General features: G+C 46.8%; 1 long non-coding RNA gene across 1 annotated transcript; it reads right to left on the reverse strand.

Moving 5' to 3' along the window:
• Positions 1-200: 200 nt before the first annotated feature.
• On the reverse strand, positions 201-5,647 carry LOC124902690 (uncharacterized). The gene is made up of 2 exons (XR_007062721.1): positions 4,774-5,647; positions 201-1,369 (listed from the first exon to the last, which is right to left on the reverse strand). It is a non-coding gene; the product is annotated as an uncharacterized LOC124902690 (long non-coding RNA).
• Between the last annotated feature and the right edge of the window lie 6,870 nt (positions 5,648-12,517).

Raw genomic sequence — 12,517 nt, forward strand, 5'->3', positions numbered from 1 at the left:
TAATTTGCTGGAGTGACTTACAGAACTTAAGGAAACACTTATTTACATTTACCAGTTTATTACAAAGGATATTACGAAGGATACAGATGAAGAAATGCATAGGGCGAGGTATGGGGAAGGGGCATGTTTCCCTCTCCAGGTGCACACCCTCCAGGAACCTCCACGTGTTCAGCTATCCAGAAGCTCCCAGAACCAAGTCCTTTTGGGTTGTTTAATTTTTTAATTTATTTTATATTTTTCCATAGGTTATTGGGGAACAGGTGGTGTTTGGTTACATGAGTAGGTTCTTTAGTGGTGATTTGTGAGATTTTGGTGTACCCATCACCCAAGCAGTATACACTGCACCCTATTTGCAGTCTTTTATCCCACGCCCCCCCCCCCACCCATCCCCCCAGGTCCCCAAAGTCCATTGTATCATTCTTATGCCTTTGTGTCCTCATAGCTTAGCTGCCACATATCAGTGAGAATATACGATGTTTGGTTTTCCATTCCTGAGTGACTTCACTTAGAATAATTTTCTCCAAACTCATCCAAGTCACTGCGAATGCCATTAATTCATTCCTTTTTATGGCTGAGTAGTAGTTCCCTTTTGGGTTTTTATGGAAGCTTTATTACATAGGCATGATTGATTAAATTATTGGTCATTGGCCATTTAACCTTCAGCCCCTCTCTCTTCCCCAGAGGTTGGTGGGGGACAAGATGAAAGTCCTAATCATATAATCCTGCTTTGGTCTTTCTTGTGACCAGCCACCATCCTGAAGCTACATAGGGGCTGTCAGCCATCAGTGAATTCATTAGCTACAAAAGACACTCATCACTTTGAAAATTCCAAGAATTTTAAGAGTTGTGTGCCAGGAAAAGACCAAATATATATTTCACAAGATCACAGATGGGAACCTGTAAACCCTATCCCACTTTAGGCTAGGACCCAAAGGGCTACACGGAAGGAAATAGAATAATCTTAGCTTTTCATCATCTGGACAGCTCCGAAAATCTGAAGCCCTGAATTTATATTAAGGTGATTCTAGACTGGGCATGGTGGAATCATGCCTGTGATCCCAGCACTTTGGGAGGCCCAGGTGGGAGGATCACTTGAGCCCAGGAGTTTGAGACCAGCCTGGACAACATGGTGAGACCTGGTCTCTACAAAAAATATTTTTAAAAAATTAGCCAGGCATAGTGGTGTGCACCTGTGGTCCCAGATACTCGGGAGGCTGAAGTAGGATTGCTTGAGCCGAGGAGGTAGAGGCTGCAGTGAGCCCTGATCATGACCCTGCACTCCAGCCTGGGCAACAGAGTGAGACCCTGTCTCCAAAAAAAAAAAGAAGAAGAAGAAGAGATGATTCTAGATCGTTATTATCCTCAGTACCTGGAAAAAAGAAAAGGAAAAGAAATATTATCTTTAAAGGAGAATTACATCCCTCAGGTCTCAAGTGTTTTCTACAATTAATTTTTTTTCTTTTTAGACAGAGTCCCCTTCTGTTTCCAGTCTGGAGTGCAGTGGCTTGATCTTGGCTTACTGCAATCTCTGCCTCCCGGGTTCAAACGATACCCCTGCCTCAGCCTCCCAAGTAGCTGGGACTACAGGTGCGCACCACCACGCCCGGCCAATTTTTTTTTTTTTTTTTTGAGACCAAGTCTCACTCTGTTGTCCAGGCTGGAGTGCAGTGGCGCGATCTTGGCTCACTGCAAGCTCTGCCTCCCGGGTTCACGCCATTCTCCTGCCTCAGCCTCCCGAGTAGCTGGTACTACAGGCGCCCGCCACCACACCCGGCTAATTTTTTTGAATTTTTAGTAGAGAGGGGGTTTCACTGTGTTAGCCAGCATGGTCTCAATCTCCTGACCTCGTGATCCACCTGCCTCAGCCTCCCAAAGTGCTGGGATTATAGGCATGAACCACCGCACCTGGCCTAATTTTTTGTATTTTAATGGAGACAGGGTTTCACCTTGTTGGCCAGGATGGTCTCGTTCTCCTGACCTCGTGATCTGCCCACCTCAGCCTCCCAAAGTTATGGGATTACAGGCGTGAGCCACTGCACCCGGCCTCTATAGTTAATTTTTAAAATAGTTATCAGGCCAGGCGTGATGGTTCACACTTGCAGTCTCAGCACTTTGGGAAGCCAAAGTGGGTGGACCACTTGAGGCCAGGAGTTCGAGACCAGCCTGGCCAACATGGCGAAACCCCATCTCTACTAAAAATACAAAAATTAGCCGGATGTGGTGGTGGCCACCTGTAATCCCAGCTACTCAGGAGGCTGAGGCAGGAGAATCGCTTGAACCTGGAAGGTGGGGGTTGCAGTGAGCAGACATAGAGTCACTGAACTCTAGCCTGGGAGACAGAGCAAGACTCTGTCTCAAAATAACATAAAATAAAACAAAATAAAATAAAATAAGGTATCAACTACACATTCCAAAATAATCAGATGCATGAAGAGACACTTAGAGCAAGAACCAGCACAAACAGTAACAGAGGGACACAATATTCAATATACTATAAAAACTGTAGACTATGGAATAATTATGTTTACTATGTTCAAGAAAATACATGCTATGCTTGAATTTTTTGGCCAAAAATAAAAAAGCAGCAGCAGCAATACCTGACATAGCAGCTTTGACAAAGAACCAAATAGAAATTCTAGAACTAAAAAATAACTAAAATTAGGAATTCCACTGAATTCCTAATTCCTAAGACAGGAATTCAATTATTAGTTTATTATACATAGGTATAGAGAGAATTAGTGAACTGGAATATAGGTCAGAATAAACCTGGCAAAATAAAGCATGAAGAAACAAAACCTCTCTGTCTCTTGTCTCTCAGAAGAGAGATGAAAAGATCTAATCTGTTTCATTAGAGCCTCAGAAGAGTGGCTGGAGGAAATGGTGCAGAAACATTTGGAAAGATTATGGCTGAGATTTCCCTGGATTTGAGGAAGAACTAATGTTAATACTCATAGATGAGTTAATACTCATAGATTCAAGAGGCCCGAAAATACCAAGTAGGATAAAGAGAAGGAGGAAGTAATTGCAGCTTTGGCTGCCTCACAGAGAAGCCACTGTCCCTGCCATGATGATGAAATTCCAAGAGGCACCACATCAGCCCCCGCCCCACTGTGACCCTCGCCCAGACCACATGGATGGAGGAAACTGAGTCATGGTGTCAGGGAGCCATACCCTGGTCACTGCTCAAGAGCTACCTTCGAATCCTCATTTTGAAAGTGAAATTGCATAATTTTCACTCCATGTACTCTGGAGCCTATGTATAAGAAACTAAACTTTAGAAGCAAGGAGATAGGACAAGAGGAAAGGCAGTCAACTTGGCCACCATACTGGTGACAAAGGTGGGCACCAATGGGAGGGGAGCTGGGGTAATGATTCAGCCTGGAAAGGTGAGTAGAACCAGAGGGAAGGCACGAGGATGACCCATCAGGACCAGGTGGAAAATTCCACTGGGATCTGTGCAGTCCCTACACCCTGCTTCCCGCAACCATCCTCAACCCAACAGCCCCACAATCCCATTCTACCACAAAGATTATGTAGCTCCTTCTTTACTGTCCTGAAATGGAATTCAGAGATACATTTTTAGACCTCAATATAATTCTCTGACAGTAATAAAGAAGAAATAAAGATAACTTAAATAAAGTAATCTGTATTATAATAGATAAATGTCCAAGCACAACTCCACTAGGAGACATGGTCTTCCAAATGGGTGACTAAGTCTTGATAAAAATTGGAACAAAACAAAGTACAATCTCATTTCACATGATAGTTGAAAACTTCAGGATTCAGTTAAAAATATATATAATATAAAATATAACACATTATATTTTTATATATAGTAAAATAATATTAGGTTTTAGGTGCTGAATGATTATAAACAAAGTACTATAATAAAATTTAATTTTGAAATTATGAGACTTCTTTAGCATTTCAGAATAACTTTAAAATGATTTAAAATGATTTTAAATGCAGTCCAGTGGACATTCAGAAGTTGTGCGGGATATGGATGAATCTTGGTGGTGTGGGACCACCTTGCCCACTGTGGAACATTTTAAGTCCCCACCCCAGTTTTTGCGGATGCCAACAGTGTCCTCACCCAGTCACTGTGATACAAAATGCCTCCAGAAGTCTCCAAACCTATTCCGGGTTCTGCCCGTGTTGAGGGCTCCTGGTTTAGGGTGTGGGCTGGGGCTGGCACTGTGGGTGGACACTTGTTCCTCTGACTGCCTGCTGGCCTCACCACCCCTGTGGGCCACAGCCTTGGAAAGAACAGTCCTCATTGGCTTTTTCTTCAAACACGACCCTGGGGATGGCTTTAGTAGCTCCTGGAATGGGGAATCTTAGCCCCGTCTATGGTCAGGTGTCTCCCCAGCTCGCTGAAGAAGAATGTGAAGGGAGAAAGGCTGAGAAGGGCCCCATTAAAGGCGGAAGAATCGCTTCCTCACCTTTCCCCAGTGAGAGAAGATGCGCTTTATTTGTTCATAAAACACACCCATAGCAAAGGCCTGGCACGGTGCACAGTGTGGGGAGCAGAGGATGGGGTCCTGCCCTCCTAGAGTGTACAGCCTGGGTGTGTGGGGGAGAGAGATAATAAACAAGGAAATAAACGGTTACGAGTGTCCCAACAGTCACAGGAAAGAACAAGTGCTGTGTGTGGAAGAATAAACCAGAAGGACGCCACAAAGGAAGGACGGTTGGGGTGGGGGCGGCCACAAGAAGCTCCCACTCTGTCTTCAGAGCTTTGGGTGGGGGGGCGGGTGCCCAAGCTATACTCACCCCTGAGGCTGTTGGTCTCTGGCCAACTTTAACAATGATTCAGGTCTCACTGGACGCACAAGGTATACGTCCTTTCAGAAAGAATGCAGAGCAATGGAAGAGTGGGTGGATTCTTTAACAAAGAAATTGCAAAATTCCAGCAAAATACAACATTTTGGAAGGAAAATCCCTTAGAGGCTCCCCTTTGGTGGCATAGCATCATGGAAATGAACCAAAGAAGAAATGAAACATTTAAAGAACATCCTAAGTTTTAAATTAGACCCAAATGCTGCGACCTCATCAAATAAACACCCAATCCACCAAATTCTAGCCCCACCAGGAGGAGTTAAGGAAGGAGCACGCTCTCAAAATGGCACCCGGGGCCAGCCCTGTGATGGGCGGACTCGGGTCACGTGACCCCAACTGCGTCTTCAAGACTGATCTCTTGTGAGGCTCTTAAAGCGGCGCTCCCCAACATTTCTAGCACCAGGGACTGGTTTGGAGGAAGGCAAATTTTCCAGATGGTGGGGGATGGGGGTGGGGGTGGTTTCAGGATGATTCAAGGGCATTTCATTTATTGTGCACTTTATTTCTATTATTATTACGTTGTAATATATAAGGAAGTAATTATACCCCTCACCATAATGTAGAATCAGTAGGAGCCCTGACCTTGTTTTCCTGCAATGCGACGGCGGCGACAGATCATCAGGCATCAGGTTCTCATAAAGAGCGCACAGCCTAGATCCCTTGCATGCGGGGTTCACAGCAGAGTTCGTGCTCCTGTGAGAATCTAACGCCGGCACTAATCTGACCTGAGTGGCGCTCTGGTGGTCACGTGAGCAACGGGGAAGCGGCCGTAAGAACAGATGAAGCTTCACTAGCTCCCCAGCCGCTCGTCTCCTGCTGTGTGGCCTGGTACCAGTCTGTGGCCCAGGGGCTGGGGACCCTTGCCCTAAAGGCTCCCGGGGCCGGCTGGGCCTGCTTGTGGGTAAGGGAGAGAGGACAGAAGCCTGTGCTGCTCAGGAGCCCCCACCACATAATGCCCTGTGTCCCAGATCCTAAATTCCTGAAAAGGCTAAAGTGAAGGACGATATTAGAGGATATTGAAAGTTTTGTTCCACAACTCCAAAACTTCTTTTATTGCAAAAAGATTTCCGTACCAAGCTTTGACATATATATATATAAATTTTTTTTCTTTTTTGAAACAGGGTCTTACTCTGTCACCCAGGCTGGAGTACCGGGGCAAAATCTTGGTTCACTGCAGCCTCAAACTCCCAGGCTCAAGCCATCCTCCCACCTCAGCCTCACAAATAGCTGGGACCACAGACATGCTCCACTATGACTGGCTAATTTTTAAACTTTTTTGTAGAGACAGGGGTCTCCCTCTGTTGCCCAGGCTGGTCTTGAACTCCTGACCTCAAGCGATCCTCTCGCTTCAGCCTCTGAAAGTATTGGGATTATAGGAGTGAGCCACCTTGCCCAGCTTAAAAATGCCTATTAAAGAAAATTTGGAAAACATATAAAAAGGGAAAAAGTCAATTCTATCTTTGTTTCCGTTTTGCTATCTGTCCAGTGCACTGGGGTGTGGAATGCTAACCTCGTCTCCTCCTACTACCCATGACTCTGCCACCTCCCATCTGTCCTCCTGCTTTTCATCGACCACACCTCCCACCTTGCGACCTTTGCACTGGCTCTTTCCTCTGCTGGAATGCATATTCCCAGAATCTGTATGGCTGACTCCCTCACCACTGAGTCTTTACTCATACACGACCTTCTTGACGACACTGACCTTGACCGCCCCACTTGTAATTGCACTTCCGACCACTCCTGATCCCCCTCCCGGTTACTCTGCTTAGTCTTATTCCTATAGCATTTACCACCTTCCTGCAAGCTAGGTAATTTACTTCTGGATTATGGTTATTTTCTATTCCTGTCTCCCCGATTGGACTGTGTCTATGTCTGTGTCTATGTCTACGTCAGCTGCACGGGCATAGAGATTTTTACCATTTTCTTCACAGGCATATCCCAAGCACCTGGAACAGTGCCTGTCATATACCAGGTGCTCAGTACATTTTTACTTGATGAATTAAATTAATGAAGCCTGGCTGATATTTATTGAGTACTTACTCTGCGCCAGACATTGTTTCAAGTACTTTACATTTTTCCAACAACCCTTGGAGAAAGTTTTAATAAACCCATTTTACAAATGAGGAACCCTAGGCACAGAAAGGCTAAGCAACTCGCCTAAGATCACACAGCCAGTAAATGTCAGTGCCAGGATTTGAACCCAGGCAGTCTGACACCAGAGCTCATAGTCTCAATTGCAGTGAACACCACAGAGCCAGGCATGTTTTAGTGGTCACTACATTTTAGTTGAATAAATGAATAAATAACTAAAAACCAAATATATCAAATAACATTCTAATTTCTCTGCCTAGAGATCAATACTGGCCAACACATGATGGGACATTTTTCTTGACCCTCTCCAATGTGAATTACTTCCTTTTATATGGAAGATTGTGAGCCCTTTGAAGACCTGATGGAAGCTATTGGACAGTAGAAGACACAGAGTGTACATGCAGGTGAAATGTTGCATGCAATTTTCAGGGGCTTAATGGACCTTCCCCATCACATTACAGTTCTCCAGAGAAACAGAACCAACATGGGAGATCTGTGTGTATGTCTATGTCTGTGTCTGCGTCTCCATCTCTGTCTATGTCTGCCTCTGCGCCTGCACCTGCGTCTGCATGTGCGTTTGTGTCTGTCTGCGTCTGCGTCCGCGTCTGGATCTGGGTCTGTGTCTGTGTCTGTGTCTGTGTCTGCGTCTGCGTCTGTCTGCGTCTGCGTCTGTCTGCGTCTGCATCTGCGTCTGCATCTAGGTCTGGGTCTGTGTCTGTGTCTGTCTGTGTCTGTGTCTGCGTCTGTATCTGTCTGCGTCTGTGTCTGTGTCTGCGTCTGCGTTTGTCTGCATCTGCGTCTGCATCTAGGTCTGTGTCTGTGTCTATGTCTGTGTCTGTGTCTGTCTGTGTCTGTGTCTGTGTCTATCTGTGTCTGTGTCAGTGTCTATGTCTGCGTCTATGTCTATGTCTATATTAATCAGGATTTTCCAGAGAAACAGAACCAATGGGATATAGATAGATGATAGATGTGTACATAATATATATAGAGGGATAGATGGATAAAAATAGATAGATAGATGATAGATAGATAGATAGATATGAGAGGAGCGTTATTAGGGGAACTGGCTCAGGTAATCAAAAGTTGAGAAGCCCTGCAATATGCCATCTGCAAACAGGAGAAGCAGGGAAGCTGGTAGCGTGACTCAGTCCAGGCACAAAGGTCTGAGAACCAGGGGGCCAATGGGGTAACTTTCAGTAGGAGCCAGAGGCCTGAGAAACGGGGATCTGCTGGTGCAAGTCTCAGAGTCCAAAGGTCAGAGAACCTAGAGTTGTGATGTTCAAGGGCAGGAGAAGAAGGATGTCCCAGTTCCAGGAGAAAGAGAGCGAGCAAATTGAGCCCTCCCAAGCCTTTTTGTCTGTCCTGGCCTTCAGCCAAGTGGATGGTGCTCCCTGCACACTGAGTAAGGGTGGATGTTCCTTACTCAGCTTACTGATTCAAATGCAAGTCTCTTCCAGAAACATCCCCAGACATACCCAGAAATTATGCTTTACCAGCTGTTTCATATTTCATAATTTTGTCAGGTTGACACCAAAAATTAACTATCGCAATATCTATATGTATGATCTAGATCTGTATCTCTATCTAACTGCCTATCATCTAGCTGAAAGATGTATTAGAAGGTACTGGCTCATGTGATTATGGAGGCCAAGAGGTCCCACAGTCTGTTGTTTGCAAGCTGGAGACCCAGGAAAGCTGGAGACCCTGAAGAGTGGGAGACCCAGAAGAGCTGAAAACCCAGAAGCTGGAGACCTGGTAGAGCTTGAAACCCAGAAGCTGGAGACCCAGGAGTGCCAGAGACCCAGGAGAGCTAGAGACCCAGGAGAGCTGAAGTCCCAGAAGCTGGAGACCTGGTAGAGCTGGAAACCCAGAAGCTGGAGACCCAGGAGAGCTGGTGGTGTAGTTCGAAGGCCTGAGAGCTTGATGGTCAATGGTGCAGATTCCAGTCTGAGTCTGAAGGTATGAGAACCAGGAGCACCAAGGACAGAAGATTGATGCTCGAGCAGTCAGGCAGGGAGGGAATTCAACCTTCCTTTGCCTTTTTGTTCTCATCAGGCCCTTAACAGGTTGCATGTTGCCCGCCCACATTAGGGAGACTATCTGCTATCCTCAGCCCACCGATTCAAATGCTCATCTCTTCTGGAAACACCTTTATGTAAACACCCGGAAATGACGCTTAGCCAGCTACCTGGGCATCCTGTGGCCCAGTCAAGTTGACACATAAACTTAACCATCACATCACCCTCCTCTTTCAACCAAATATGGACCAGGGGGTCATGCACTCCAAGGAAGCTGGCCTGGTGGCTGGCCTACTCTGCACTGACCCTCTATGCAGGCTCCGGCCCCCTCAGCTTTAGAGGGAATTAAAGGGTACTTCTTTAAGGGTCATTTAGACTGAATTCATTCTTTCCAGGCACTGAGCCAGGGGATGCTGCAATGACTGTGACAGGCCAGATACTGCCATGGCAGAGGGGGTATCAGAGGAACCTAGGCAGACCATCCTGGCTGACCTACAGTGAGAGCAGTGGTTTCTTTCAGGGAGTGGCATGATTCAGTGGGGAATGTGGAGGAGGAAGAGAGAAGTCAGTGAGACCCTTGAGGAGGCCATGGCAGTTGTTCACTGATAGTTCTCTGCATCAGGGTGCTGGCCATGGAGATGGGAAGAAGTGGACAGATTCAAGAAATATCTCAGAGACAGAGCATAAGATTTGGTAATAGATCAGATGAGGGGTTTTTAGATTGTCACAGAGGCAAACCAGGAGATAGGACTCATGTGCAAAGGATTTATTAAAGTGTTTGCAGGACAAATGGGAAGGACAGTAGCCATGCAGGACAAATCCCAGATGGCCTTGGCCACCCAGCTCTTCCCCACTTTCTTGCTTGTCATTTTCAGAATAACTGTTGATTGTGCTGGGAGTGCAACAACTTGAGATAAGAAGGAACTGGCTGGAACAGTCCAAGGTCTCTCCCTGTCCCTCCTAGAACAAGATGTCCTGCAACACTTGTGCTCAGTGAGTCAACTTCCCCTAGGTATAAAACCTAGAGTGGAGCATCTTTTGGCGTCCCTTGGCTGTGGTGCTGCCTAGGGCATGTGCAGATGGACTCTACCCACCCTGGCCAGCTTGCCTGAGCCTTGTCGGGGAGCAGGGACCCTAGGCTCCTGCTGTCCCCTGATGCCGATCCGCGAATAATAAAGTTGCTTTTCTTAATTTACAGTGTGAGCGTTCTGTCTCACCCGGCTTGTGCAAGTGGTAGAGTAACCTTCCTCACAGGGGGAAGCAGGATCAGGAGGAAACCACACAAAGGTGCAGTCTCAGGTGAGAGCTGAGCCCCAGCCAGATCCCGCAGGACACTCTGCAGCCTTAACGATGTCCCAGAGCTCATCCCACCTCGAAGCAAGGCAGCTGGGCTCTCTGAGGGCTGCTGCCAGCTGCAGGCTCCCAGACACTCCTGGCTTTCAGGGGTATCTTGTTAAAGTGGCAGGGAGAAGAAAAGGGAGACTTTAAGGATCACATCAGGTTATCTGCTGCCAGGTGGATGGTGCCACCATGATTGAGATGGAAAGATAAGGGGCAGCAGGGGTTCGGGGGATCAAGGACTGGACTCCTTGAGTGTGAAGTGCCCGTTAAACATTCCAGTGGCAACATCAGGTAGACCATTGGTATGATTCTGGGGTCTGGGGGTGTGTGGGGTGGGGTTGGGCTGGAGGTGCGCTTCTGGGAGTCACTGGGTGTGGCCGGCGTCTGAAGCCATGAGACCATCTACAGGGCCTTGGCATATGCCATCCCTTCTGCTGGGAACTTGCTGGCCTCCTCCTCACTTGTTAATTTCTACTCATGCTGAGGCCCTTGGCTCATGCATCGCTTCCTGAGGGAGTGTCTCTGACCTCCCTGGCCGCACCAAAGCCCCCTGTCAACCTTGTTCTCCTGAACTTCTGCTCTGTAGCAATGGCCGCAGTTGGAGGTTTGCATCTATTTGTGTGATTATGTGGGTTTTATCCACCATGGGGCCCTCAGCTTCCTCTTCCCATGCTTGATGGAGAATTGGAGTGTCACGCCACTGACGGCTCTGCTCTGACGAGGTCTTTCTAGCCTCAGGAGCTTGTTCATGGGGTCCCTTTCATTCCCACCAATTTGTTAGTCCAGCTTCATCTCTTGCTGAGCTGTTCTCCGCCTTGAGACCTAACTGTTCACCCTCCCTGAGTTGGCTGTGTGCGATCCTGCCCCATGACCGTGCAGATGCCACGTGACCCAGTCCGCAGTCGTCTCTTGTCCCCATTGCTGGAGCCAGCCTCCACCTCTCAGTGGTCCTTTCTGAGACCAGACAGATGAAATTAGGCGCATTCAGGGTGGTACGGCTGTAGACGTGCAGGTCCTTTCAAAAGTGCCTTCTCCTCGAGGCTCTTTCCAGCCCTCTCTCCTAGAGGAGCCCTTTTCTCCTGCTCTGTGTCTCCCCTTGGACCCCTTAACACGGTCTGTGTTTTTTGAATATCCCTCGGCAAAGCAACGGTGTGTGCTTTCTTGCCTGAGGGCTGCAACCAAGCCTGAGTCCACCTCGAGACTCCCTGGAGCAGAGCCCAGCCCTGGCATGCAGTGTTCAGACTACATGGAGTCGTGCACTGCTGCTGTGTGCATCTCTGTGTGTTCAGTACAGAGCTGCAGAAGGGCCACCCCTTCATTACCTGGGGTCCCAGAAGTCCCTATTGTCAGGAAAAAGGCATGAAAACCTCAGCCTCTGCTTCTGGTTCCTGACTCACACTGGTCACCTTGACCTTATAAACAACTCCTGCAAACCTCTGTTATTTTATGGCTTTGTTCTGTTTTTATCAGTGTGTTTTATCTAATATATTCTGAAAAATTTAGGACTTCCCAAAAATATCCCACGTACATGTAAAAGAGTCAGCTGAGAATAGCCAAAAGGAATCACATACATTTTTGCATGGGAAAGAAGTCTTTTAACATTTAGTATTGTTTTTATGGTGGTAAAATATACATAGCATCAAATGTACCATTTTACCATTTTTAAACGTATGATTCAGCGGCATTTAGTCCATTGACATGGCTGTGCAGCCATTGCCACCACCCAGCTCCAGAATGCTTCATCTTTCCAAACTGAAGCTCTGTCCATTAAGTACTCTCTGCTCCTCCTTCTCCAACCCCTGGGAAATGCTATTCTTTCTGTCTGTATAAATTTGGATACTCCAGGCACTTCCTATGTGTGGAATTATACAGATTTGTCCTTTTGTGACTGGCTTGTTTCACTTTGCATAATGTCTTCAAGATTCATCTGCGTTGCAGCCTGAATTTCTTTCCTTTTTAAGGTTGAATAATATTCTATCATCTGTAGATGCCCCTGTATTGACAATGTTTTCTCACTTTCTGTGTTCTCGTTGCTCTGGCATTGGGATCCTTGATCGTGGAGAGTCTGCCCCCTCCAGAGCTAGCTAAGTCCTGAAGCTAGCAAATGACTCCCCTGCCTGCAACACACCTTTTTTTTTAAAATTATACTTTAAGTTTTAGGGTACATGTGCACAACGTGCAGGTTAGTTACATATGTATACTTGTGCCATATTGGTGTGCTGCACCCA

This window comes from Homo sapiens, chromosome 11, assembly GCF_000001405.40.
Source record: "Homo sapiens chromosome 11, GRCh38.p14 Primary Assembly".
Classification (NCBI taxonomy): Eukaryota; Metazoa; Chordata; class Mammalia; order Primates; family Hominidae; genus Homo; species Homo sapiens.